This window comes from Homo sapiens, chromosome X, assembly GCF_000001405.40.
Source record: "Homo sapiens chromosome X, GRCh38.p14 Primary Assembly".
NCBI classification, from domain to species: domain Eukaryota; kingdom Metazoa; phylum Chordata; class Mammalia; order Primates; family Hominidae; genus Homo; species Homo sapiens.
The window spans coordinates 12,945,377-12,972,598 of record NC_000023.11 but is presented as its reverse complement, the minus strand read 5'-3'; the positions used below and the strand labels follow the sequence as shown (position 1 = coordinate 12,972,598).

General features: G+C 46.2%; 16 annotated features.

The window, feature by feature from the left end:
* Positions 8,030 to 8,691: an enhancer, noted in NCBI's record as "NANOG-H3K27ac hESC enhancer chrX:12982027-12982688 (GRCh37/hg19 assembly coordinates)". NCBI's record gives its function as "activates a minimal SCP1, AML or CMV promoter by ChIP-STARR-seq in naive H9 embryonic stem cells {active_cell/tissue: H9 hESC(naive)}" and the evidence as "EXISTENCE:reporter gene assay evidence [ECO:0000049][PMID:30033119]".
* Positions 10,117 to 10,369: a transcriptional cis regulatory region, noted in NCBI's record as "candidate enhancer chrX.234 targeted for multiplex CRISPR interference". NCBI's record gives its function as "positively regulates TMSB4X gene expression in K562 cells {active_cell/tissue: K562}" and the evidence as "EXISTENCE:mutant phenotype evidence [ECO:0000015][PMID:30612741]".
* Positions 15,335 to 15,801: a transcriptional cis regulatory region, noted in NCBI's record as "candidate enhancer chrX.233 targeted for multiplex CRISPR interference". NCBI's record gives its function as "positively regulates TMSB4X gene expression with high confidence in K562 cells {active_cell/tissue: K562}" and the evidence as "EXISTENCE:mutant phenotype evidence [ECO:0000015][PMID:30612741]".
* Positions 15,335 to 15,905: a biological region, named in NCBI's record as "CRISPRi-validated cis-regulatory element chrX.233". NCBI's record gives its function as "regulatory_interactions: TMSB4X".
* Positions 15,676 to 15,905: an enhancer, noted in NCBI's record as "active region_29419". NCBI's record gives its function as "activates an Ori minimal core promoter by ATAC-STARR-seq in GM12878 lymphoblastoid cells {active_cell/tissue: GM12878}" and the evidence as "EXISTENCE:reporter gene assay evidence [ECO:0000049][PMID:35858748]".
* Positions 15,970 to 16,833: a transcriptional cis regulatory region, noted in NCBI's record as "candidate enhancer chrX.232 targeted for multiplex CRISPR interference". NCBI's record gives its function as "positively regulates TMSB4X gene expression with high confidence in K562 cells {active_cell/tissue: K562}" and the evidence as "EXISTENCE:mutant phenotype evidence [ECO:0000015][PMID:30612741]".
* Positions 16,596 to 16,675: an enhancer, noted in NCBI's record as "active region_29418". NCBI's record gives its function as "activates an Ori minimal core promoter by ATAC-STARR-seq in GM12878 lymphoblastoid cells {active_cell/tissue: GM12878}" and the evidence as "EXISTENCE:reporter gene assay evidence [ECO:0000049][PMID:35858748]".
* Positions 21,235 to 21,464: an enhancer, noted in NCBI's record as "active region_29417". NCBI's record gives its function as "activates an Ori minimal core promoter by ATAC-STARR-seq in GM12878 lymphoblastoid cells {active_cell/tissue: GM12878}" and the evidence as "EXISTENCE:reporter gene assay evidence [ECO:0000049][PMID:35858748]".
* Positions 21,235 to 21,747: a biological region, named in NCBI's record as "CRISPRi-validated cis-regulatory element chrX.231". NCBI's record gives its function as "regulatory_interactions: TMSB4X".
* Positions 21,318 to 21,747: a transcriptional cis regulatory region, noted in NCBI's record as "candidate enhancer chrX.231 targeted for multiplex CRISPR interference". NCBI's record gives its function as "positively regulates TMSB4X gene expression with high confidence in K562 cells {active_cell/tissue: K562}" and the evidence as "EXISTENCE:mutant phenotype evidence [ECO:0000015][PMID:30612741]".
* Positions 21,395 to 21,689: an enhancer, noted in NCBI's record as "tiled region #3540; K562 Activating DNase unmatched - State 5:Enh". NCBI's record gives its function as "activates a minimal TATA promoter and a strong SV40 promoter by Sharpr-MPRA in K562 cells {active_cell/tissue: K562}" and the evidence as "EXISTENCE:reporter gene assay evidence [ECO:0000049][PMID:27701403]".
* Positions 22,017 to 22,429: a transcriptional cis regulatory region, noted in NCBI's record as "candidate enhancer chrX.230 targeted for multiplex CRISPR interference". NCBI's record gives its function as "positively regulates TMSB4X gene expression in K562 cells {active_cell/tissue: K562}" and the evidence as "EXISTENCE:mutant phenotype evidence [ECO:0000015][PMID:30612741]".
* Positions 22,095 to 22,389: an enhancer, noted in NCBI's record as "tiled region #4636; HepG2 Activating non-DNase unmatched - State 23:Low, and K562 Activating DNase matched - State 5:Enh". NCBI's record gives its function as "activates a minimal TATA promoter and a strong SV40 promoter by Sharpr-MPRA in HepG2 and K562 cells {active_cell/tissue: HepG2 | K562}" and the evidence as "EXISTENCE:reporter gene assay evidence [ECO:0000049][PMID:27701403]".
* Positions 25,387 to 25,516: an enhancer, noted in NCBI's record as "active region_29416". NCBI's record gives its function as "activates an Ori minimal core promoter by ATAC-STARR-seq in GM12878 lymphoblastoid cells {active_cell/tissue: GM12878}" and the evidence as "EXISTENCE:reporter gene assay evidence [ECO:0000049][PMID:35858748]".
* Positions 25,387 to 25,834: a biological region, named in NCBI's record as "CRISPRi-validated cis-regulatory element chrX.229". NCBI's record gives its function as "regulatory_interactions: TMSB4X".
* Positions 25,391 to 25,834: a transcriptional cis regulatory region, noted in NCBI's record as "candidate enhancer chrX.229 targeted for multiplex CRISPR interference". NCBI's record gives its function as "positively regulates TMSB4X gene expression with high confidence in K562 cells {active_cell/tissue: K562}" and the evidence as "EXISTENCE:mutant phenotype evidence [ECO:0000015][PMID:30612741]".

Genomic DNA, 27,222 nt, shown 5'->3' with positions numbered 1-27,222 from the left:
GAGAGCCATCATTGGGTTACCTCAGCTGGTAGCCACTCTGTTATATATGCCAAGAGCATGTAAAAGTCCTCCCCACATCCTCTTAGTCTGTACCCGAGAATCACCAGGAAGAGTGTGAGGAGCTAGGCAGTTGTGCTTTCCACAGCGTCTGGTGGATAGTAATTGCTCAATAACAGTTCTCCCACTGCATTGAATTGATTTTCTTTTCTTTTCTTTTTTTGAGACAGTCTCGCTCTGTCACCCAGGCTGGAGTGCAGTGATGTGATCTCGGCTCACTGCAACCTCCACCTCCCGGATTCAAGCCATTCTCTGCCTCAGCCTTCCATGAATTGATTTTCTTAAATGAGGGAGGTACTTGAACTCAGGTGTTGAACCTGTGACTCTAATTGTCTTGCTTTCTTCTCCCCAGATAATTAAATCCATTTAGTCTTAATGTTCTAGATGTCAGAATGTTCCAGGATCATCCCTGCCCCAGGCAGCTACATTTATAAGTCTGTTAGTATGTGCCGGGCACAACTACCATTGAGGTAGCAGTTTTCGATCCCAATTAAAAAGACAGAGGCACACAGGGGCAAAGGAACTGCTTACAATGGGTGCAGACATTGTTCCCAGTGAGACCCCCCCCCAAAAAAAAAGGCCTTGGGTGACTCCGGGTTGTATGGTGCACTCTGGCCTTGGGGCTCTCTGGTGAAAGATAAGTAGAGTCCACTTTGCGCCTGTCCTGCCTTCCTCATCTCACGGGCCACAGCGCCCAATGAAAAATGTGCCAACATTGCCTGCGTTGAAGGGCGGTTCCCCTCCAACCCTGTGTCTGGTGGAACCCGGAAAAGGTGGCAGGGGACGCAGTTTTATTTTGCTTTCCAGGGCGGGCCTGGGATAGAGTCGTGGCTATTTCTAACCATGGAGAAGTTGGCTAGAAGTCTGAATTCATGAAAATGAGTTCTATTAGTTTGAACCTATTTAATTTTGTGCCAAAAACTTACCAGAAGAAGAGAAGAAGGAAGAGGAGGGAGGAACGGAAGAACAGGAACAAAGCTGAGCTCCCAGCTCTTGCTTTCTCAAGCCCAGATCCCTTTGTCTGAGTTTCAGGGCCTCCTACCATCTGCCCCACCTGCCTGCACCCCACGTTCCCCTGTGGCCCCTGCAGTCTCCATCTGGTCTCCCTCACAGCAGAGCCCTCCTTCCACTGATTGGAATCTAAAACCCCTTAAAGACACAGCCTAAGTCCCCCCTGTGAATAACAGGAAAATGAAAAGAGAAAGGATATTTAGTAGACTAGCTATATCTTGTAACCTCAGCTATAAGCCCTTTTAAACAATATCTGATTCCATTCTTACCCTATGGAGTGAGTACTAATATCCCCATTTTACTACTAAAGAAATTGAGGCTCCGAGAATTTAAGCAATTTGCTCTTAATCAAATGCCCAGGTCTGTCTACCAAGTCTTTCCACCGAGGCCTATCTCTGCCTTATCTTTAGTTGAAGTATCTTTCTCCAGGACTCCCACCCAGAGCGGACCCACATGGTGCAAAGAGGAAGGCGAGCAGGGGGTGGCAGGAAAGCAAAGAGGAGTGAAAGAACACCCTCGCCTGTGCTCAGTGCTGAGTGCCGTGCTGCTAATTGTCCTGTTTGCTTTATTGATCCGATGGAAACTTTAGAGCCAAAAGAAATGTAAAAGGGGATCTCATTCAACCCAGTTTCCCTTCTGTGGCTTGAATTTTCCTCTACAACATCCCCTCCAAGTGGTTACTCAGCCTCCACACAGCCAGGGAACAATACGGAAGCAGAGAATCTTCGAGTTAACGCAGGGGGCAATGAGTAGCTTAGCTTGGCAGGCACTTGCGTAAAATGAGAGAAAGTGACAGGAAATAACGCTGGGAACCAGGCAGGGGCCAGGTTGTAGAATAATGATAGTAACAATCATGGCTGTACCCATAGCAGTAATAACAGCAAGTGCTTTCTGAGTGCTTTCCATATACTGGGAAGCTTTCCATGTAGTATTTCCCGAATCCTCACACAATCCTATGACAGTGGCACCATTATTCTCCTCATTTTGCAGATGAGAGAATTCTAGAGGGATTAAATAACTTCCCCAAGAAAACACAACGAAAGCCAAAGGCAGGATTTGAACTCAGACTGGCTGGCTCAGAAGCCGCCTCATTTAAACACTACTCTTCTCTAGAATCCTAAGGCCTTTTAAAGGCTTTGTTCCATACGCCAGATAAGGGTAAAGTTATATTCTGTCTCAATCAGCTGTCTAGCTTTTTCATCATGTAGATGTTTTTTCTCTTTTTTTCTTTTTTTTTTTTAAGAAACAGGTTCTCTCTATGTTGCCCAGGCTGGTCTCAAGTTCCTGGGCTCAAGCAATCCTTCCACCTCGGCCTCCCAAAGTGCTGGGATTACAGGCGTGAGCCACCGCACCCAGCCTACATCATGAAGACATTTAAACATAGATATCGTAATAATGTCATATACATTAAAATTTTCCCTGCCCCAATTTTCAAATTATTTCATTACAGAAATTCAATCTGCTCTTTTTCCTCCTCCTGCATGGCCAAGGCACTGGCAATAAAGAGAATTTGTATCCTGAACGTTAGTAGTTTTCCTCAGCTTTTCACTACTTAAATATTTTTCTTTTTCTTTTTCTTTTCTTTTTTTTTTTTTTTGAGTCGGAGTCTTGCTCTGTCACCAGGCTGGAGTGCAGTGGTGCAATCTCGGCTTACTGCAACCCCCGCCTCCCAGGTTCAAGCGATTCCCCTGCCTCAGCCTCCTGAGTAGCTGGGGTTACAGGTGCACACCACCACTCCCAGCTAATTTTTTGTATTTTAGTAGAGACAGGGTTTCACCGTGTTGGCCAGAATGGTCTTGATCTCCTGACCTCGTGATCTACCCGCCTCGGCCTCCCAAAGTGCTGGGATTACAGGCGTGAGCCTGGCCTTACTACAATATTTTTCTAAGAAGTCATTCATATTACAATGGCTAAAAAAATTAGTAGGTTCAATAGCATATTGAAAGGGGAGGCATTACACACTCCCAATGGCTTTCTGTGTTAAAAATGACAAACCTTTGATTCCATTGTGAAGCAGAATTATGCTTAGCAAGTAACAAGTGTTTGTATTTTTTAATGTGTTTTTTCTGTGGGTGCCAAAGCTTTATATAAAATATAGTTCCCAGATCATCAGCAGAAGATGGTTAATAGCTTTATGGTGAGGAAAATGGAGTGTAGGTAATGGAGCACTGGCTCAAATCTGAGGGGAAAACCCACATAGGCCAAGATCAACTTCCTTGGCTGACCCTGACGATTTGGCCTCTCCAGGACTGGCTTCACAGGTGCACAGCTGTGCAGCTGCACTGGGCCTTACGCTCAGAAGTCCCTGGTGCTTGGCTTAATGTACTGCTGCCGCCATTTTGAAATTCTTACCCCACATTTCTATTTTGTACTGTGTCCCCCAAATTCTGAAGCCAGTCCTGCCCTTTTTAGATTCTCATTCTTTGAGTGCCTCCAGTGCTACTGTCTTTTCCTGGACCCAGGAATGGGCCCTTACACACGTGCCTCTTCCTCTGCCTATAATGCCCTCTCAGGTCATGCCCATTAACACTTCTCAGGTGTGGAAACTCCCTGTTCTTCTTGAGCTGAGAAAGTGGTGCCAATTTAGGAAAAAAAAAAAAACTTTTTATTAGGAAACTAGAGGAAAACAAATTTTAAAGTACAAAACAATGGGCTTCTTAACAATGCTATAGAGCTTCATCATAGGTTGATTTGACCGGCAGAGCTTAAGGGCCACAGCATCTTAGTTCCCTTACCCATTCCCAGAGCACCTGGGAGGAGGTGCGGATACCAGACCAAGGTTCTCAGACTGCTGGCACCAGTAGAGCTGGTGGCACCAGTGCCAGAATTGGAATTCTTCATCCCTCTATTTTCTTTCCAGTTGAGGGACATTCTTGTTGACCCAGGGCCGGGCCACGCTTGTGCACAGCAGACAATCCCAAGAAATCTTTGATCTTTATGAGAGAGAGGAACTCTCCGACATCACCTCCAGTAGTTCCTTGTTGGGGTTCTTGGACTGTTTTATCCTGACTTTGCAGCTAAGTTTGTCAGCTCTCCTGGAAGTTTTCCATGCTCCTCCTCTTTAACCCCTTCCTTTCACTGGTGGATCAGTCTGAGTGTGTACACAGGATGCTCCAGCCTCTTTGCCACCTGCAATGCTTCGATCTGAGCCTAGGTGCCCTTGGAGCTGGTGTTTTGGAGCAGCCGCCACCGTTTTCTAGGCCTCTGTGAGGTGCACACACCAGTTCTGTTCTCTTCCTTTCTGCCGGGTTATTTTTTCCTGTCTGAGGGATGGCTGCAACTTTCAGCTTACTTGTGCCTCAGAATTGACTTGCATGTACCAAGGCCAATGAAGGAGAATTGAAACTGACCCAATAGTCCCATAGATCAGCGGTTCCTAACCTTTTTGGCACCAGAGACCGGTTTCGTGGAAGACAATCTTTCCATGGACAGGGTCGGGAGGGTGCTGGTTTCAGGATGAAACTGTTCCACCTGAGATCATTAGGCATTAGCTTCTCATAAGGAGTGCACAACCTGGATCCCTCGTATGTGCAGTTTGAAATAGGGTTGGCGATCCTATGAAAATCTAATGCCGCCCTGATCTCACAGGAGGCATAGCTCAGGCGGTCATGTGGTAATGCTCGATCACTGGCGTCTCACTTCCTGCTGTGTGGCCCGGTTCCTAACTGCACAGCAGGGGGTTGGGGACCACCCCACCCCCTCATGGATCCTTTCTCAGAATTATGTCAATGCTTAAAACAAAAACCTGGGATCACAAATGAAAATTATATTTACATACAGTTACCAAAAGTTTTTAATAATTGTGATGTAATATATGTGCTTCTTTATATATTAAAGAACACAGTCTAGCAGTCAGTCTCATATCCACTATAAATTCAAAATAGTGATCAGTGTTTGATATCTACACAACGTTAACAGATATAAAAATATCTGTAATTTCTTTTGTTGATACAAGCACAGGAACTGCTAAGATTTCAGAGGTTTCTTGACTACATGCGTATTTGAAGAAACCGCTAACATTCAGAGGTTAATGAAAATAAAGATGGGTTTTTTTCCTTCTAAGTTCCCTAGATTCTCTTCAAAAATCTCTTGGGTGTCCGTGGACCCCAAACTAAAGGAACGGTTTCTTAAACTAGAGAAAGTCACCAACAGCGTTTTTGTTTTTTTTGTTTCGTTTTGTTTTTTGAGACAGAGTCTTGCTCTGTCGCCCAGGCTGGAGTGCAGTGGCGCGATCTCGGCTCACTGCAAGCTCCGCCTCCCGGGTTCACACCATCCTCCTGCCTCAGCCTCCGGAGTAGCTGGGACCACAGGCGCCCGCCACCACGCCCGGCTAATTTTTTTTTGTATTTTTAGTAGAGACGGGGTTTCACCTGTGTTAGCCAGGATGTTCTCAATCTCCTGACCTCGTGATCTGCCTGCCTTGGCCTCCCAAAGTGCTGGGATTACAGGTGTGAGCCACTGCGCCCGGCCACCAACAGCGTTTTTTGAGAAAAAAATGGAAGTGATGGCGTGGCTACCGATGAATGTGATAAACCAATAACCCTGCTTTTGAAATTTAATTTACCATTTACCTCTGAATATTCTCTGCTTGATCTAAATTTCACCATCTATACCAGCAGCTTACCTGAAAGGGTTTGGGCACCAGCTCAGAGAAAGCAACAAATTGGACAACAGCTGGTGGGGGCGGGGGGAAGACCAGCTTATAGGTGTCACCTTACATTTTGGTGTTTAGTAATTCCTTATGTAATGCAACTCATATTTATCTAGTTTTAGTGAACTTCATCAAAATATTCTCTCACCTTTTGTGTCATTTTATCCTTAAAGTACTTGTAGGCAGATAAAGGGACTAGATATTCGTATCAATATTTTGCAGAGGATGGAATTCAGCACAGAGAGGTTAAGCCACCCATTCAAGGGTATTCAGTTGGTTTGCAGAGCCAAGACCATAAACCAAAACTCCTTGTATTCAACTGTGGGCCCATAGTCCTTTAGGCATAATTTTAGGTGCTAGATCTCATAGAATCCATACTTTAGGAGGAAGATTGTATATCTAAGATGAGAAGGAGCCAAATTCAGATTCAGTCATATATGAAACTCAGTCAACTCAGAATGTGTATTTTACCTAAACATAGGATGGTTCACCAATACTGGAATTGTTCCCAGTGCTAACCAAACAATAATAGACCTGATTTTGTTTTGGTAGTGGCAGTGGTGGTGATGGTGGTGTATATTGTTAGTTTTTGTCATACAAGCATCCATTTCTCAGATTTGAAATTACACACGTGGCTTCTAAAGACCTAAATTTACTCATTCATGAAAATGGCTTCCTAGTCTTTTTTTTTTTTTTTTTTTTTTTACTACTTAAGGTCCTTGGCACAAAGAGTGAGCATACATTTGCACTTAAATTTTTCTATTTTTCTATGTATACACAGACAGGAACACAATTTTAGTTTGGGCCAGGAGGAGGTATTTTAATGTCTGAATTTTATATTTTGTACTCTGTGGTTATGTTTGCATAAATGCCTTACTTTTTAGCTAGAACACTGTGTTTGGTTTTGTGTAATGAAGAATTTGGCTGGCCATTATCTCTAGTTCCTGAGATGTAGCTTCTAAACCCTTAGAATTTCCTGAGTGATTGGAGTGTCTTTGTTATTCATGGTGGGCCCCTTGGACCAGGCTTGATTGTTTATGATAATGAGGTGGCTCACACTGGACAGTTTATGCTAATGAAACGATTCAGAATAGGGGCTGGCCAGGCCGGAAAGATCAAATATGTGATTAGAGGGTTGGGGCTTTAAGCCATGAGATATAAGCCCAACCTCTGGAGGGGAAAAGGGGAGCTGGAGAATGAACCATGTGACCAGTGGTTCTATCAATCATGCCTGTATGAGGCCTCAGTAGGCCTCAGTAAACATTTTAGTACACCAAAGCTCAAGTGAGCCTCCTTGACTGACATTACTCCTTGAGTATTGTCACACTTTCAGGCTGGGAGGATAACACGTCCTTAAGGATGACAGAAGCATTGCACTTGGAACCCTGACAGATGTTGCCCTGCGCATTTCTTCTTTGGGCTGTATCCTTTTACTGTAATAAAACTGTAAGTATAGCACTTCCCTGAGTTCTGTGAATCGTTCTAGCAAATTATTGAGCCAGAGGGTGGTCACGGGAATCCCTCAATTTTAGCCAGTTGGTTGGAAGAGTGAGTGACCCTGGGGACTGGTGTCTGAAGTGAGGGCTGTCTTGTAGAGAATTTAACTTGTGAAGTTTGGCTTAACTCTGGGTAGATTTACAGAATGACAAAATGAGAAAAAGCTTGTACTCTCATTTATTAAACCAGTGCCAGGTGTATCATCTAATTTAATCCTCAGTTAAAACCCTTCAAGCCAAGTCCTTCTATTTTTGGTTTTGCTGGAAGGAAACTGAAACTCAGGAATCACAAAGCTAAATTCAGATTTGAATGCAAAATTTTGAATGCAAACTCCAAAACCCAGAATAAACACCTTTGTTGAAAGACATAATTTAAAAATTTTGTTAAAAAATCTTGACTGGGCCGGGCGCGGTGGCTCATGCCTGTAATCCCAGCACTTTGGGAGGCCGAGGCGGTGGATCACCTCAGGTCAGGAGTTCGAGACCAGCCTGGCCAACATGGCGAAACCCGCATCTCTACTAAAAATACAAAAATTAGCCGGGTGTGGTAGCAGGCGCCTGCAATCCCAGCTACTGGGAGGCTGAGGGAGGAGAGAATCGCTTGAACCCGGGAGGCGGAGGTTGCAGTGAGCCGAGATTGTACCATTGCACTCTAGCCTGGGACACAGGAGCGAAACTCCGTCTCAAAAAAAAAAAAAAAAAAAAGATCTCGACTGATCATGTTTATTTTTATAGAAATCATTTTAATATGCAACTACATTGATCTCCCATGCTTAATTTTTGAAATAGTCTTTATTTGTTCAACCAATTTTTATTGAGTTACTACTGTGTGGCAAGCATTGTTGTAGGAGCCAAGGATATCTCAATAAACAAAACTTCTGCCTTTAAGGAGTTTACTTTCTAGCGGGCCAGAAAGAGAGAATACATATTTTTTTTTTTTATTTTTTATTTTTTATTATTTTTTTTTATTGATCATTCTTGGGTGTTTCTCGCAGAGGGGGATTTGGCAGGGTCATAGGACAATAGTGGAGGGAAGGTCAGCAGATAAACAAGTGAACAAAGGTCTCTGGTTTTCCTAGGCAGAGGACCCTGCGGCCTTCCGCAGTGTTTGTGTCCCTGGGTACTTGAGATTAGGGAGTGGTGATGATTCTTAACGAGCATGCTGCCTTCAAGCATCTGTTTAACAAAGCACATCTTGCACCGCCCTTAATCCATTCAACTCTGAGTGGACACAGCACATGTTTCAGAGAGTACAGGGTTGGGGGTAAGGTCACCGATTAGCAGGATCCCAAGGCAGAAGAATTTTTCTTAGTACAGAACAAAATGAAAAGTCTCCCATGTCTACTTCTTTCTACACAGACACGGCAACCATCCGATTTCTCAATCTTTTCCCCACCTTTGCCCCGTTTCTATTCCACAAAACCGCCATTGTCATCCCGGCCCGTTCTCAATGAGCTGTTGGGTACACCTCCCAGACGGGGTGGTGGCCGGGCAGAGGGGCTCCTCACATCCCAGTAGGGGCGGCCGGGCAGAGGCGCCCCTCACCTCCCGGACGGGGCGGCTGGCCGGGCGGGGGGCTGAACCCCCACCTCCCTCCCGGACGGGAAGGCTGGCCGGGTGGGGGGCTGACCCCCCCACCTCCCTCCCGGACGGGGCGGCTGGCCGGGCAGGGGGCTGACCCCCCCACCTCCCTCCCGGATGGGGCGGCTGGCCAGGCAGAGGGGCTCCTCCCTTCCCAGTAGGGGCGGCTGGGAAGAGGCACCCCTCACCTCCCGGACGGGGCGGCTGGCCGGGCGGGGGGCTGACCCCCCCACCTCCCTCCCGGACGGGGCGGCTGGCCGGGCGGGGGGCTGACCCCCCCCACCTCCCTCCCGGACGGGGCGGCTGGCCTGGTGGGGGCTGACCCCCACCTCCCTCCCGGATGGGGTGGCTGCCGGGCGGAGATGCTCCTCACTTCCCAGACGGGGCGGTTGCCAGGCGGAGGGTCTCCTCGCTTCCCAGATGGGGCAGCCGGGCAGAGACGCTCCTCATCTCCCAGACGGGGTCGCGGCCGGGCAGAGGCGCTCCTCACATCCCAGACGGGGCGGCGGGGCAGAGGTGCTCCCCACATCTCAGACGATGGGCGGCCCGGCAGAGACGCTCCTCACTTCCTAGATGGGATGGCGGCCGGGAAGAGGCGCTCCTCACTTCCTAGATGGGATGGCGGCCGGGCAGAGACGCTCCTCACTTTCCAGACTGGGCAGCCAGGCAGAGGGGCTCCTCACGTCCCAGACGATGGGCGGCCGGGCAGAGACGCTCCTCACTTCACTTCCCAGATGGGGTGGCGGCCGGGCAGAGGCTGCAATCTCGGCACTTTGGGAGGCCAAGGCAGGCGGCTGGGAGGTGGAGGTTGTAGCGAGCCGCGATCACGCCACTGCACTCCAGCCTGGGCACCATTGAGCACTGAGTGAACCAGACTCCGTCTGCAAACCCGGCACCTCGGGAGGCCGAGGCTGGCGGATCACTCGCGGTTAGGAGCTGGAGACCAGCCTGGCCAACACAGCGAAACCCCGTCTCCACCAAAAAAGTAGGAAAACCAGTCAGGCGTGGGGGCGCGCGCCTGTAATCGCAGGCACTCGGCAGGCTGAGGCAGGAGAATCAGGCAGGGAGGTTGCAGTGAGCCGAGATGGCAGCAGTAGAGTCCAGCTTCGGCTTGGCATCAGAGGGAGACCGTGGAAAGAGAGGGAGAGGGAGACAAAGAGAGGGAGAGGGAGACCGTGGAAAGAGAGGGAGAGGGAGACCGTGGAAAGAGGGGAGAGGGAAAGGGAGAGGGAGAGGGAGAGGGACTTTTGTGTGGAATCGAGAATACATATTTTTAAAAATAAGTAGTGTGCATAGTATACTAGAAGATGACCATGGAAAGTGAGAGTAGGGTAAGGGAAATGAACAGGGAGTGTGTAGGAGGGATGGTCCAGGTAAGCCATCAGAGGCAAGACTTCAAGGGAAAGAGGAAGTGAGCCACGCAGATGCCTGGGGGAGGTGCTCCAGGGAGAGGTCACAGCCAACTCCAAGGCCCTGAGCAGGGACCATGACCACACACGAAAGCCAGCATGGCTGAAGCAGGAGAGCAGCAGTGTTCCCTGGAGTCGTACAACGTGAAGCCAAATAGGTCAAATCACCCTTATGGGAGTGTGGGATGGATGGTGCCAAACATGAGGAGCTTCCCAGGCCATTTTAAGAACTTTGGCCTTCCTTTTTTTGCATGAGTTAGGAAGCCACTGGCAGTTTGCCATCAGAGAAGTCCCATGACCTGATTCAGGTTTGAAAGGGACCACAGCCACTCTGGCTCCTGGGTTGAGACTAGACTAGGAGCAGGGAGGCTGCTTTACAGGCCATTGCAACAATTCAGGTGGAGGACAGACCAGGATGGGAAAGTGGAGTGGTGATGAGTGGACAGATGCTGGATGTATTTTGAAGGTAGAGCCAATAGGATTTGCTGATCTACAGGGTATGGAGGGGGAGAGAAAGTGAGGAGTCCAGGCTGATGCAAAGATTTTGGTCTGAGCAACTGGAAGGATGGAGTGGCCATCCACTGAAGTGGAGAAACTTAACTGGGCAGGGGATGGGGAGGCGCAGTGTGCTCAGGTTTTAGGATAGATGATCAGGAGCTCGGATGGAATGTAGGACATTTGATTTGCCTAGTAGAGTCCAAGTGGACATGTCAGGAGGCATTTTAATAAAGATTTTTTTACCTTCTTCCTTCCTCCCAGTGTTCCTGCCTTCTCTACTGAAGGCAGAGAGGATACATACATATAGAATATGGCCTTCACTTCCAATGAGAACAAGAGCCATTGGGAACTGGCTTTGTTGTGAGTCATTGCTTGGCACCTACTGAGTACTTTGTGCAGGCATGTTAAATGAAAGAGATTTAAATTTTGTACTAAGAGGAACTTGAAAAACAAAACAAAACAAAATCAATGATCATTCTGTGTACAAGAATGCTAAAACTGCCAGCAGAGGGAGAGTGCTTTGTCATTTGTTTTTGGTTTTACATTTCTGCAACGTTAATGTTTCGCTTCCTTTATTAATTAGGACTTATTTATTATTTAGTTTGTAACATGCACCATGGTTGCAGTTACTAGAATGTTTAAAATTTTTCACTTTAGAATAATTTCAAACTTACAGAAAAGCTGCAAAAAGACAGTAAAGAACTGTGGTATACCCTTAACCCAGATTCACCAGTTGTTAATAATTGGCCATACTTGCTTTATCAATATTTTACTATCTATCTATCTATCTATATCTATTTTTCTATCTACCTATCGTTCTTTCTGTCTACCTACTTACTTATTTTTTCTAGACCATGTGAGAATAAGTTGTGAATATGACACCTTTTTACCCACAAATACTAGGTATGCATTTTCTAATAAGGTCATTCTCCAACATAGCCACAGTACAATTGTCAGTACCAGGAAATGTCACATTGCTACAAGACTATTATCTGATGTGCAGACCTTATTCAAATTTTGTCTATTAGCCCAATAACATTCTTATAACAGCTTTTTCCGGTCCATGTTCCAATCCAGGATCATGCATGGCATGTAATTGATATGCCCCACTAGTATCTTTTAATTTAGAACTTTCTCAGCCTGTCTGTATTCCATGACACTATTTTTGAAGAAGACTGGCCGCTTATTTTGTGGAATTTCCCTTGATTTAAGTTTGACTGATGTTTCCTCGGGATTAGATTTGGGCTTGCCTTTTTGGCAGGAATGCTACTCGAGCGAGGGACACTGTGACCTTCTCGGTGTCTCACAGCCGGGGGCCCATGAAGTTGGTATGTTCCGTTATTGGGATGTTAACTTGGATCAATTGATTAATGTGTTACCACTCAGGTTTCTCCACTGCAAAAGTAGTATTTTTTGAGATGTGTTGTTGTTTAATGTGTCTCTGTTCCCTGCATGGTGTGGATATTTCAGCTGTCTTCACAAAAACCTTAGCTCAGTTATGGCGGGATAAATCATAGCCTTGATGAGGGCGAATTACTCTCCTCACCATGCATAAACCCAAGGAGATTCTGTGTGGTATTGAAGGACCCAGAAACGACATCAGCACTTATGCCTACTCACGGGTAACTTACCTGTCATCTGAGCAACATGACAGTATACACAGTGCACCCTGCTTCCAAAGGAGAAAATTTTTAAAAAATAAAACGTGGCAAAAATCATTCAGAAAATGGCATTTGTTTCTCACAAAGGAGATTCACAATAACTTCCCACTCCCCGCCCCACCCCAAGAAGTTCTTTTCTTGTTAAACGCTAACGAATGGGGTTGTTGATGACCTCTACAAAGGAGATTAAAAGACAATGGAGGAGTGAGGCCGGGCGAGGTGGTTCATGCCTGTAATCCCAGCACTTTGGGAGGCTGAGGTGGGAGGATCGCTTGAGCCCAGGAGTTCGAGACCAGCCTGGGCAACACGGCAAAACCCTGTCTCTACAAAAAATAGAAAAATTAGCTAGGCATTGTAGTACATGCCTGTAGTCCCAGCTACTTGGCAGGCTGAGATGGAAGGGTGGCTTGAGCACGTGAGGTCAAGGCTGCAGTGAGCTGTAGCCTTGGCACCACTGCACTCCAGCCTGGGTCACAGAGCAAGACCCCGTCGAAAGAAAGAAAGGAAGGAAAGAGAGAAAGAGAGAGAGAAAGAAAGAAAAAACAAAACAAAACAAAACAACAAACAAAAAAAACAGGGTCTGATGGCTCAACCTGCTTGCTGAGCATGGCAGGATCTAATTGTGTCTCAAAGACTGGACCAGAGAGTTGGAGATGCCCTTCCACCACACCCTACTGCAGTGTTTATAGGCCCAAAGGGTCTTCAACTAGCCCAGTAGGTGTTTGATAGATTACCCTCTGTTAGTTGAGGTGACTATTTTCCTCCTATCCCACTGGGGAAAGTGGCCTGAGCACTTAAGGGGATCCCTGGCCAAGAAGAACAACCACAAGGATCATTTATCGAGTGCTTGCCAGAGCCAGGCACTGCCTTAAGCGCCTCTTCATTCTCCCAGTGACATTGTGGGGTAGGTAGAGTGAACACCCCATTTTACAGAGAAAGAAACTGGAGCTCCGAGAAGTACCATGGCCAAGGTTGCTCAGCTAGTAAGACCAACCATTGAATGTGACAGTTTTAAGTTTTATTTTTCAGCATTTTATTTACATTTTCTACCCTCAAGCAGGGGCAGCAGTGAGGAGAAGGTGAGATCTCAGATGCTGTAGAGACGGTTAAATTGGCCATTGACTAGGTCAAAAAAGTATATATATATCCCTGTGTATGTGTGTGTGTGTGTGTGTGTGTGTGTGTGTGTATATATATATATATATATACACACACTGTATATATATATATATATATACACACACACACACACACACATACGCTATATACATATATGGTATAAGACTATATATATACACACATCTGTATACATATACAGTATAAGACTGTGTGTATGTGCATATATGTATGTGTATATATATATATATATATACACACACACACAGTCATGTACTGTGTGATGACATTTCAGTGATCCCATAAAATAATACTGTATTTTTTACTGTACCTTTTCTAATTTTAGATACACAAATACTTAGCATTGTGTTACAGTTGCCTACAGTATTTAGTGCAGTGACATGCTGTACAGGTTTGCAAGCTAGGAACAATGGGCTGTACCATATAACCTAGGTATGTAGTAGGCTGTACCATCTAGGTTTGTGTAAGTACACTCTGTGATCTTCGCACAATGAGGAAATCGCCTAGAACGTATCCCCATTGTTAAGCGATGCATGACTATATGTAAATATGTATATATATATATATATATATATATATGTTTTTTTGTTTGTTTGGATGAGAAACACACTAACATTTGTAGTGATAAACATTTTTTGTTGCTTTGTTGCACCTTCTCAGTAAATCCCATGAATTTAGTCTAAGGATGCTCATTTTACAGATGGATAAACCGAGGCTCCAGAGATCACAGTTGGCAAGTGGCTGAGCTGGGACGGTATCCAGCTCTATCTGGTTCCAAAGTCTGGTCTCTAAGGCCCTCCTCACTGAGCTAAGAACAACATGAGAAGATGCCCGTGTATGGTAGGCTTTCAAATGCAAATCAAACAATGAGGACCTCTCTGCTCATTTCAGACTGACAAAAATGAAAAGGTTGAGTAGTGGCTCCAGTTGGCCAGAATGCAGGGAAAGAAAAGTGAAAGCTCTTATATGCTGTTGTTGGAAGGGTCAATTCGTAGGGACTTTTCAGAGGCACCGGTGGCTGTCACAATTAAAACAGCATTTCCAGTTGAACCCAGCATTTCCAGTTTAAGTCCAGTGACAGGACTCTCATTCTATAGCCATACTAACACACTTACATATACATATACATACACATGCACAAACATCTAGATCTTTCCCCCATAGCATTGTAGATAAGAGTAAAAGCTACAATCAACCTAAGTGTATATTAATTGGGAGATTAATTAAATACATGATAGAGTACCCAAACAATGGAAAACTATGCAGCTGTTAAAAAAAGATTGAGGCAGATTTATTCATGATATGCTGTGGAAGGATGTCCAAAGAATACTCTTTTTTTTTTTCCCCCGAGACAGAGTCTCGCTCTGTCACCCAGGCTGGAGTGCAGTGGCGCGATCTTGGCTCACTGCAACCTCTGCCTCCTGGGTTCAAACAATTCTCCTGCCTCAGCCTCCCGAGTAGCTGGGATTAGAGGCACCCACCACCACACCAGCTACTTTTTGTATTTTTAGTAGAAATGGGGTTTCACCATGTTGGCCAGGCTGGTCTCCAACTCCTGACTTCGTGATCCACCCACCTCGGCCTCCCAAAGTGCTAGGATTACAGGTGTGAGCCACCGCGCCCAGCCAGAATACTCTTAAGTGGAAAATAAAGAGCCTCATAAATAGTGTCTGATCCCTTCTGTGCAATAAAAAAGTGAGGTGTAGAGAGACCATTTCCGGAAGGGAATTTTAAGAGCTTACCTCTGGGGAAAGGAAATAGAGAAACCTCTACCATTTACATTTTTACCAGAAGCATGCATTACTTTTATATTTTAAATATTTAAAACATTATTGATGTTTTACTTTCATATTTTATACATTTAACATTTTTTCTGTGTATTTTCTTGCTCAAGAAACTTGTCACAGAATCAACAACACGCAGTTGAGTATGCCTGTGAAAGAAACAGAATGTGACCCTGGGCTTAGGGTTTCTTTAGTAAGAAAACACCTTTGAAAGGAAGTGAAACACACCACCAAGCACCAAGACAGAGGGAGGGGGACTTCCTGCTTATCTGCAAGGGAAGGAACCCGTGTTCTTAAAGGGGCAGGAGGAAAGTTATTTTCAAGTCAACTGCTGTCATAACCCTAGATCAAACTAACTGCAGACCAGTCTGCAGTAGGCCCCGTTCTAGACTGCAAGTGTAGTCAGCCAGCCCACCATAGGCCCAGTTGAGAACTATCCTCACTTACAGTGGCTGTGCTTTGGATGTTTTCCTTGTAGAATGTGACCATAGCATTACATTTTGGTGAAGTGAATCATATTTTCAGTGAGGTAGGGAAGTTGCTCGTAGGATCATATAGTGATATGTATATGTGCCTGAATATTCATGTATGGTGTTTCTCTAAGTAGAAGCACGTGTGGCCAAATTGAACCACTATAAAGGTGTACATTTGTACAGGTACTTGGTTTCTTAATTTTGCCATTATTTTGCATCTGCTAGCTCACCCTTGCCTCCCAACAGCCCTGTGAGGGCATGAGAGGGCAGCTGGCATCCCATCCATAAGTGAAGACATGAGACACACAGTAAGGGACTTCCCCAGGGTCTCTGAGCCCCTAGCAAGACCAGAAGGGGTCCCCAAGCCTAGCAGGTCGGCTTCTGGCCTGGTGCCCCGGCAGGGGAGGAGCTGTGGTTTCCTGTGGTTTCATCATCCGTCTGTCTGACCGTTTATGTGGAAGTAACTTTCCACTAGCTTCTCCTAGGCCTCCCTCAAGAGTGAAGTGCCAATGGGGCCCTGAAAGGGGGCTCTTCGAGGGAGAATCCACGTGGGTAGTGGTTGGGGGACGCCTGGGAAAACAGATGAGGCTGGCGAGGGCAGGGGTGACATCCTACCTCCGCTCTCAGCCTCTCATCTGTGCCCACACTTGCCTGCCTTGTGTGGCTTTATAGCATGGGAGGCGTCTGCCAACTGCCCGATTCCTACTAGTTATTGGATAATCACTTCCACAGAAGCAGAGCAGAAAAGCCTCACGCCGCCACAGGCCCGCTCTACTTCCACCGAGGTGACTGCCATTAGCGGCATGGCTTCTGCTGCTCCTGGTGCAGGAGGATTGGATGGGCTTGGCCCTGGCTTGTGGTTCCCTGAGAGGGCCACGCAGGGCCCAGGGAGATAACAGGGGACATCTGTGTTCTCTCCCGCTTCCTGCCGTCACACCCTGAGGGAGGGTGGCCAGATTTAGCCAATAAAAATGGAAGACGCCCTCAAATTTAAATGGGAATTTCAGGTAAATAACAAATAGCTTTTTAGTATGAATATGTCCCATGCAATATTTGAGACCATAGAAATTATTTTATTTCTGTGAAATTCCAATTTAACTGGGCATCCTGTATTTCATCTGACAAGACTACCCTGAGGGGGAAAACTTAGGCCCTCTCACAGGCACATTGCTACTTTGGCTGTCTCTGTTTTTTTTTTATTTTTTATTTTTTATTTTTGAGACGGAGTCTCGCTCTGTTGCCCAGGCTGGAGTACAGTGGCATGATCTCGGCTCGCTGCAGCTACTGCCTCCCGGGTTCAAGTGATTCTCGTGCCTCAGCCTCCCAAGTAGCTGGGATTACAGGTGCGTGCCACCACGCCCAGCTAATTTTTGTATTTTTAGTAGAGACGGGGTTTCACCATTTGGCATGGTTGATTTTGAACTCCTGACCTCAAGTGATCAGCCCACCTCGGCTTCCCAAAGTGCTGGGATTACAGGTGGGAGCCACCGCTACCAGCCTGTCTCTTTATCCAAATTCTCCCAAACATAGACACACACACACACACACACACACACACACACCCTCAACGGGTCTCAGGCCTCTAAGTTCTCCTCTCAGGGGCTCCTGTCAGCCCTGCTCCAGCTGGGTCCTCTGCCCTAGGGGAGAGAGAATGGGAGGGGTGAGGAAGGGGTGAGGGGAAGTAGGGGAGGCAGAGGAAGAAGAAAGTTTCAGAAGAGAGCAGCCTAGGCAGAGGTGGCTGAGAGCTCAACCCAGTGGAAATGTGGACTCTAAGAACAGATGGGAGCCACCAACGTGATAAAGTGGCCTGCAAGGCTCAGAGCTGGCCCGCCCAGCAAGAAGCCTGTGTTTAGTCAAGGTGGGCCTGTGTTGAGACAAGCAAGCAAAAGCAAGCCTCCCTCTGAACTCCCTGAGGCCCTGCTGGGCCTTGCTAGAGGACCCTCCGCTGTGGAGGCTGGCTTCAGCCCTGTCTTCTCCCCGTGGCCACCCAAAAGCAGGATGCAGAGCCAGGAGCAATGTGGAGCCAGCTCCTGGGGATGCAGAAAGTGCCAGTACTCCCACCCTCCATACCCCTCACGTTCTCATTCTGCAAGAATTCCCAAGAGCCCACTAAGTGCTAACACGATGTTTCAGACTCTTTACTATCAACCTGACTGAGGTTTAATTGACATAAAATTCATCTTGAATGTACCTCGATGAGTGCTAGACAACCATGTACGCGCATGTAACCACCCTCCCCATCAAGATTCAGATCACCAACACCCCGGAAAGTGGCCCACTGTGTGAACCTTCTTTGTCACCCTAAGGCAAAATGTGGTCCTCACCCCCCAATACCCCCTTGGAAGGTCTTCTGCAGTGACATTTGTCCCAATTGCTGCCACCTGTGTGTTCTCTTTTTATTTTTATTTATTTAGAGATGGAGTCTCTCTCTGTCGCCCAGGCTGGAGTACAGTGGCGCAATCCCGGCTCACTACAACCCCTCCCTCCTGGGTTCAAGCGATTCTCTTGCCTCAGCCTCCCCAGTAGCTGGGACTACAGGACCATACTCGGCTAATTTTTGTATTTGTAGTAGCGACAGGGTTTCACCATGTTGGCCATGCCAGTCTTGAACTCCTGATCTCTGGTGATCCACTCGCCTCAGCCTCCCAAAGTGCTGGGATTACAGGTGTGAGCCACCGTGTCTAGCCCCACTTGTGTGTTCTCTGTCTTCTTTCCCCATCAGGTTGGATCTCCTCAGTGGTCGGCCTGGGTCCTATTTGTCTCTGTATCTCCAGGACATAGCAACGACGGCCCTCTGTAAATAATACTCGTTGAGTGGTGAGAACCATATGGGGCAGCAGGATTTGACGCCTGAATCATGAAAACTGGGGAGATTGTTATTAATCTGGAGAGCTCCTCTTTTTTTTTTTTTTTTTTTTTTTAAGACGGGGTCTTGCTCTGTTGCTCAGGCTGGAGTGCAGTGGTGTGATCATAGCTCACTGTAGCCTCGACCTCCTAGGCTCAAGCAATCTTCCCACCTCAGCCTCCCGAGTAGCTGGGATCACAGGCACACACCACCATGCCTGTCTAATTTTTTAAATTTTTTCTAGAGACACGGTCTCACTATGTTGCCCAGGCTAGACTTGAACTCTTGGGCTCAAGCAATTCTCCCACTTTGGCCTCCCAAAATACTGGGATTACAGGCGTGAGCCACGGCTCTGGGCCAAGACAGCTCCTCTTCGAAAACAAGTGCTGATGTGGGCGTCAGCTTCCCCTCCCTCATGAACATGCTCAACTCAGGTTTCCGCTATTCTGTTAGAGACCCTGTTTATTACTAGCCCATATGAGAGGAAGAGCCTTTGAACCCTTCTGTCTAGGCTTCTAGGGTGGTCATAAGGCTTGACCCAACCTCGTGACTGTGGTGTCAGTGGATGGTACCTTCATTCTTCATTCGGAGAGAAAGAATACATAACAATGATAGTAATATGAGAATTACATGGATGTTTCTGATCTTAAATGTCATTCAAGAATCACTGTAGAAAATCTGGAGATTATGATAATATCTGACATTTATGGCCTGCTTTACTACATGCTGAAGGCTAGTCTAAGAATTTCTCATTTAAACTTCAGAACAAGGTAATGCAGTATGATTGAGGTTAAGTGCTAGAATGGTTCCCTCACATTATAGAAGAGAACCAGGTTACCTGACTTGCCCAAAGTCACATTGTTGGGAAGTGGGAGCTAGGATTTGAATCCAGGGTAGGGGCCAAGGGAAAACCTCCCCTTCGCCCTCTGAAGGTTTACTGAAAAATCAACTCAAAAAAGGCAGATTAATAGACTGGGCACACTGGGTATAATCTGAGCACTTTGGGAGGCTGAGGCTGAGGCTGGAGGATCGCTTGAGGCCAGAGGATCACATGGGTCCAGGAGTTTGAGACTAGCCTGGGCAACATAACGAGATCACCGTCTCTACGAAAACATTTTTTTAAATACTAGGTGTGGTGGCACACGCCTAATTTTTAGTTGTGGTGGTACATGCCTAAAACATTTTTTAAAAAATTCAGGAGTGGTGGTACGTGCCTGTCATCTCAGCTACTCAGGAGGCTGAAGTGGGAGGGTTGCTTGAGCCCAGGAGTTCAAGGTTACAGTGAGCTATGATTGTGCCACTGCACTCCAGCCTAAACAACAGAGTTAAGACCCTGTCTAAAAAAAAAAAAGCCTCGCCACTGAACTCCAGTCTAAGTGACAGAGTGAGACTCTGGCTCTAAAACAAAATGAGATGAAGAACCACATATGCAACAGCCCAGTAGTCATTTCTTCTTACATATCCCACAGACCCCCTATACTCAGTATGTCCAACACACCGATAACTAATCCTCTTGACTCTGCTGAGAGAGAGCATTAAAATATATATAATAGGCCGGGCATGGTGGCTCACGCCTGTAATCCCAGCACTTTGGGAGGCCAAGGCAGGCGGATCACAAGGTCAGGAGTTTGAGACCAGCCTGGCCAACATGGTGAAACCCTGTCTCTACTAAAAATACAAAAATTAGCCAGGCTTGGTGGCGTGCACCTGTAATCCCAGCTACTCGGGAGGCTGAGGCAGGAGAATTGCTTGAACCTGGGAGGCGGAGGTTGCAGTGAGCTGAGATCACACCACTGCACTCCAGCCTGGGCAACAGAGCAAGACTCCGTCTCAAAAAAAATTTATAATAATAATAAATTAAAAGGCAGATTAATTGGAGAAAAAGCATACAAATTTATTGTGCACATGGAGGAGAACCATAGAGTGATTACCAATCCCCGCAGTGGGGTACAGAAGCCTTGAGGTTACAGAAAGACTGGAGGCTTGGATCTTGGCAAAGAGATTATGGCATGGGGAGAAGAGGAGGCCTGGCTGGCAAAGGCGTTCTTGTTACATAGGAGAAATCTCAGAGGTAGCCGCTCTCAGACAGAATAGATAGTAAATGTTTCTTTCAGACCTTTAAAGGTATCAGACTCTCAGTTTTTCCTAGATATGGACAAGAGAGAGCCTCAGAGAAAGCCTGGCTGTATCAACGTAGTTTTTCTCTGCAGATGCAAATCTTCGCCACATGAGACAGTTTTGTAGGGCTGCTTCTGTTTGCGGGCCCTGTGAACAGCCATCTCAAAATATGTCAAAGAAATATATTTTGGGGTAAAATATGTTGATTCCTTCACTGGGCTTGAGGTGCCCCACTCCCAAGTTTGAGAGAAGAATCTGGGAGAGGTTTGGGAGATTTTTTTCTTTCTGGTTTTAATTGCACTCTGTTTCCTCCAGAGTTTACAGTTATTATTATTACTGTGTGATCTAATTATGTGCAAGCAACATAATCACAGAACTGATTATGCCTCTGAAAATTGGAAGGGAATATTTTGGGGGAAAAACCCAAATTGAGAAATGACTGAGTTTATAGCCAGTAACAGCTGTTGTTTTTAGGAAGTTAAATCGATTTCTTTTGCTCAAAGAGTTTCTACTTCCTGAAGAGATGTACCCTGTTTTCTATGGGTGCAAAGGCAGTCTGTGTACATCATGATACTCCATACGGGCCTGATGGCGCTCAAACAGAAGGCCAGGCCAGCAGGCATCAGAAGCTTTTCCTTTCCCCCAGTTTCCTGTTTCCAGATCGTATTCCAAAGCTATAATTTCTACTTACCTTGAAGACCTTCAGTTTTCCCTGTTTCCTTCCTCTACTCCCTGAGCCTCTCACTATGAGATCCCTAGAGTGTGGTTGTAACGGCCTCCTCTAGCGGGTGCCCAGGCCCCAGTCTGCTCTGCTCCACACTTCCCCCTAGGGGCAGTTCTCTGCCTGCGTCCATGCTACCCCCTGCTTCTAAACCTTCCAGCGATCCTCAACACCAGTCGCCTATAAAGTACAAGGGCCTTGCACTTTATAGTTGGCCTTCAGGGAGGGCACAGTTTGCAGCCAGTACTGCCTACCAGCACACTTCTGTTTCCTTCAGCTCACCAAAGCTTTAGCCATGAGAGTTTATCATTCCTTCCTCATCTTCCTGTCCACGCCTGTATTTCCAGATCATTCACACTGTGCCCTCTGCCAGGAATGCCTTAGTCTCATTTCCAACCTCACGGCCACCTTAGGAGACAGCTCTTGTGGCATAGATGTTAAGATGGAAGGTTCTGGAGTCAGGCTGCAGGATTTGTATACTAATTCTGCCCAGGGTGTGCAGCCTGTGCAGTCACATAAGAGCCACACTAAGGAGGGCTCCGGGCTTGGTTTTTTGCTCTGCTACCACCATCTTGAAATTCTTAATCATTTTTGAACCAGGGCACTGGACTTGCAAACTATGTAGCCAATTCTGCTTCTGACACTGACAAACTGTCTAACTATAAAATCAGGATGACAGTGAAGGCTTAGAACAGGGTCAGGCACTTTGGAAGCGGTCAGTGAATGGGAGCTATCATTATCCCCATCTTACACACCAGGAAAGAGGCTCAGTGAGTTGCTCCACACCCCACAGCTGTCACGTGACAGAAACGGTGACGTGGCTTACTTTCACTTCCCACGCCGATGTGAACTTTCCTACGTAGCCCTGACTCTTTGTAGCACGTGGTCATGTCTGCTCTCAGTGTATTATGTGGCAGTATTTAAAGGCTGCTCATACTGCCTTTGTTCCTTTAGAAGTAAGCAAAGCACAGAGTTAGTATTTCTCACACTTGAAAAATGAGAACAGTAAATCAGTGACTGCCTTAAACATCCAAATCCAATTATGACCTTTGCTGAGACAAAGATGCTGGCATCAGAGTCTGGAGTCTGGGGCTCTGTGAACCCACACACCATGCCTGTCCCTCTTCAGTCTGGAGCCAGAATCCTCCCTTTCCCACAAAAGACAAAAGATGCTAACAGATGCACGCTGGTTTCCGGAGGAAAAGGCCACTTCTGTGAGCCAGTGGGAAGACGGGAAGTCTTTCCTGCAGGAAGGGGGTAGGTAGCTCAGGATACTAGCAGGAGATGCTTTTAATTGTTCTGCAACAGTGACAGCTCAGCATCGTGATTCCTGGTGGTGCTGGGGTGCAGTACTATTGTTAATGTCAGCTCCCATTCATTCATTCCTCTATTTTCACACTCACACATTCTGAATGCAGTTATTATGCTGTGGTCTTGGGGAAGGAGCTGTGCTAGTGGAAAGTGATGCAAAGTGAAAAGAATATTCTTGCCACTTGGGGATTAGGGAGAAAACCAGCAAGTATGCAAAGATTCACAACCATCTGGTGAGTGCCTAAAGCCAGATATTATCAGAACTCGGGTAAAACCAGAGGCCTAGAAAAGGCAGGAAAAACATGGCTCCCTCAAGAGGTGAAATTTGAGCTGAGATTTGAGGGATAAGGAGATCTGATTGCCAGTCCCGTTGAATTCATTTCCTATCCCTGTAGTAGCAAAGGACCACAGATCCAGCAGCTTAAACAACACAAATTGATCATCTTAAAGTTCTGGAGGTCAGAAGTCTCACTGGGCCAAAATCAACGTACCTGGTAGGCTACATCTTTTCATGGAGGTTCTGGGGGAGAAGCTGCTTCCCTGCCTTTCCAGCTTCTAGAGGCCTTCTAGATTCCTTGCTTCCTCCATCTTCAAAGCTGGCAATGTCACATCTCTCTGACCAGTCCTGCATAGTCACATTTCCCCCTGACTCTCCTCTTGAGCTGCCCTCCTTCACTTTTAAGGGCCCTTGTCACTACACTAGGCCCACCCGGATAATCTAGGATGATCTCCCTACTTGGAGGTCACCTGACTAGCAATATTAAATCCGTCTGCAGTCAAAATTCCCTTTTGCCATGTAACCAAATATTCATAGGTTCCAGGGATTAGGATGCAGACATGTTTTGGGGCTGCTACTCTGCCTGCTATGCTCATTTTGTAGATTACTTGCTGTGTGCCCCTGAGCAATTTTGTCCAGTCTCTCTGAGCCTGAGGCTTCTTGTCTGTAAAAAGTAGAAATAAGACCCGCCCTGCCCATCTCACCTGAGAATGTAATGAGATAGTGTTTGTAAAAATGCTTTAATAATGGCAAAGGTCTCTGTCAGCATAGATGTTCCTATGAGGGGGAAGGGCAGGGGATAACATCCTGAGTGTCTGCTGCATTCTAGGTAGGTACTAGGAGATGGTTTATCCCAGATGGCGCATACCTCTTCCCAATTCCACATTCAGAGCTGTCACACTGGTGTCTTGAGATCTGCCATGGTGACAGTATTTACACCATGGAAATACTCCAAATCAGGGCTGCCCCCACCACCTTGAGAACCAGTTGTTAAACATTTACCAGCACATGACAGGTCTATTCCATTTATTTAAGAAAAACCACCTGAAGGGGCTTTTATTCCTTTATAGTATAGATAGGCAAGTCAAGCTCACAGCCAGTGATAAACCCACCTAAGATCTCACAGCTGGTAAGAGTGACTGAGTGTTGAGGCTGGCTTGTCATACTCCAAAGTTGATTTTTCCACTGTACCCTCAAAACCATTCTTCACTCCTCCAGTTCTGCCTACCCTTGACAGGTTTGATTACTCTAACTAACCAAGAGAATTGTGGGACTTAATAGCAGGTTCAAAACTGTAACTGTCATGCCTAAGTTGGTGGATGGCCACGTTTTGGCTGTGGAAGTGCAGTTTCCTGGGGGCTCACCTGGGTCACTGCCAACTTGACCTAAATCAAGTTTAAAGCCTTCCACCCTAGAGGTTAGGCAGCATATGAAAATACTGAATTCTCCACTGTCAACTGCAGAGGGTTAAAAGGGATTTGATGTAAACAAATTGCCAGGTCACACAAAAGTCAAAGTGCCACATGGCTTCCTCTTAGACAACCTGGAAGTGTTTGAAGGTCAGCAAACACAAGTGCTTCATTCAGAAGTGAACAAAGCAAATAGCAGGCTAGCATTATTGACCTTTGGGAGCAGAATTAATGGTGGCAATTGGAGATTTAAAACAAAACCAAACTGACTTGACTTCATGTTCTATTTTAATCAGGTTCCTATTTCTCTGTGTACTAACTTTGTTTTATTAAGTTTTGGGTTTTATTTTAAATGTGCTCAAAGCATAAGACATCTAAAGTAGTTAGTGGGCGTGAGGAATTAATTGACCCAGGAGCAAAGACTGCACATCTGACAATGGTTCTCAGTTTGGCTGTACATGGGAACCACCTGGGGACCTTTCAAAACGCCAGCTGCCCTGGTTGCATGCAGACCAGTTAATCCAAATCTCGGGGGCAGGGGGTAGGGGGGTCCCTGGCATTGGTCCTTGCGGATTGAAGCTCCCAGGTGATTCCCATGTGCAGCCAAGGTCGAGAACCACTACTCTTGTAGTTTATTTCCCTTATTCCCACTTAGCGTTTCTATTTTTTGAGTTTCTGTTGTGTATAGTCTGTTTGGGAAAAGCACTGTATCCAGTTACATGAGAGGTCCTGACACCACAGAAGGTGAAAAGGCCTCAGGGCGTTTCCTAGTGGGTGTTTCAGAGAATAAAGAATCCCCACACCTAGAAAACCAGTTCTCCCACACTCACCAGGAGTGACATCACCAGGAGCCAATAAAAAATTTCCACTTGAGTTTACCAGTTAAGCCCTCAATTGATTGAACCTAGAAATTGCTAGACAAACTGTGAAGGATTAGGTTCCTCCAAACTGCTCCTTTTATGAGGCCCATTCTCTGATTTACACTAGATCTAGCCTCTTACCAGTTCTCTCAGTTTCAATGCATTTGTTCTGTGGCTGTTGTAGTATTGGCAGGAGGAGGATTTGAGTCCGCAGGCAGATAAGAAGCCAAGTTTCAGAGGAAAAACAATGGAGATTCCACACCCTGAGCTCCTTGAGTCTAAAACCAAAGCCTAAAGGCTGTAGGCAAATTGTTGCTGCCCCCTATTGGCAGTGATTGGTGTTGACGCATGAGAAAGAGTCCAAGCCCCCTGGTGGTAAATTCCAGCTAGGCCCATCCCTTGCTGTCGCTCCACATTCCACTAACAATGCTGTAGGCACAAAAGAATTCCCCCTTAAATATATCAGATGGGAGTTGTGAAAGGAAAATAAATCTTGGGACCCCAAAATCACTAAGCTAAAGGGAAGTCAAGCTGGGAACTGCGTCAAGCAAACCTGCCTCCCATTTTATTCCTAAATAAGACAGCTACAAAGATAAAAAAAAAAAAAAGACATACCTCCCTCACAATTTGCCCACAAGGAAATTCCTCGTGGACAAAGGACAGACAGAGCTCAAAGTCATCCCTCTGAGGCTCATGTGAGACAAATGCATATCTGATTGCTTCCTCTGCCCTGTCGTTTCACCAAGGCAGACCAGGCATAAGTGACTATTCCTCCACCCTCCTCTCCCATGTGAATTGTATATTCAGTGAAAGGCTAATCAGAGACCCAATAGAATGCAACAAATGTCTCTTATCTACCTGTGATCTGGAAGCCCCCTCCCCTGATTCGAGTTGTCCTGCCTGTCTGGACGGAACCAATGTACATCTTACACATGTTGATTGATGTCTCACGTCTCCCTAAAATGTGTAGAACCAAGCTGTGCTCCGACCACCTTGGGCCCATGTAGCCAGGACCTCTTGAGGCTGTGTCATGGGTGCATCCTTAACCTTGGCAAAATAAACTTTCTAAATTGACTGAGGCCTGTCTCAGATATTTTGGATTCACAAATTGGTAACCATGAAGGGATTCTGAGTGGAGGTACCCCTGACCTTTGACAAATCTACTGTTGGTGCTTGGTACCAGCTTGAGCTATCTTTATGGCTCAAGCCAGTAGGACAATTGGCTGAGGCCTGGGAGACACCCCCACCCCCGACCAAGAGAATCCCTGATCTCTCCAAATTTGGTTGAGATCTAAAGTTTATTTTGCTGTATAACTCCTTTTCTGGAGTTTCACTTGCTCCCAAAAAGGAAGGCAAGTTTTCCTGCTTCCATGATGAAGAGTGCAGGTAACTCCTTTCTGGAATTTCAGCTCACTTCCAACAGGGAAGGCGAGTTTGAGTTTTTTCCTGCTTCAAAGATGGTAGAGAGCAGTGTTCAGCCTGAGCCCCATTCCTAGGTAAGTAGCTGAATTGGGCTTTTGTCTTGGCTAAAGTTAAAATTAACAATCAGCTGGTTTTAATTTATCCTTACCATTAGAGCGCTTGGTAATCATATATTAGGTTGGTGCAAAAGTAATTGCGGTTTTGCATTCTTTTTAATGGCAAAAAGCACAATTACTTTTGCACCAACCTATAAATTGTGGCATTGTTTGCTTTGCTTAGCTGTTTTTTGTTGTTCTTTGTTTCTGTTTTGGTTGTTGTTTTGGTCTTTTTTTCATTGGTTTCATGCACATCCGTGTGAAGAGACCACCAAACAGGCTTTGTGTTAGCAACAAGGCTGTTTATTTCACCTGGGTGCAGGCGGGCTGAGTCCGAAAAGAGAGTCAGCCAAGGGAGATAAAGGTGGGGCTGTTTTATAGGATTTGGGTAGATAAAGGAAAATTA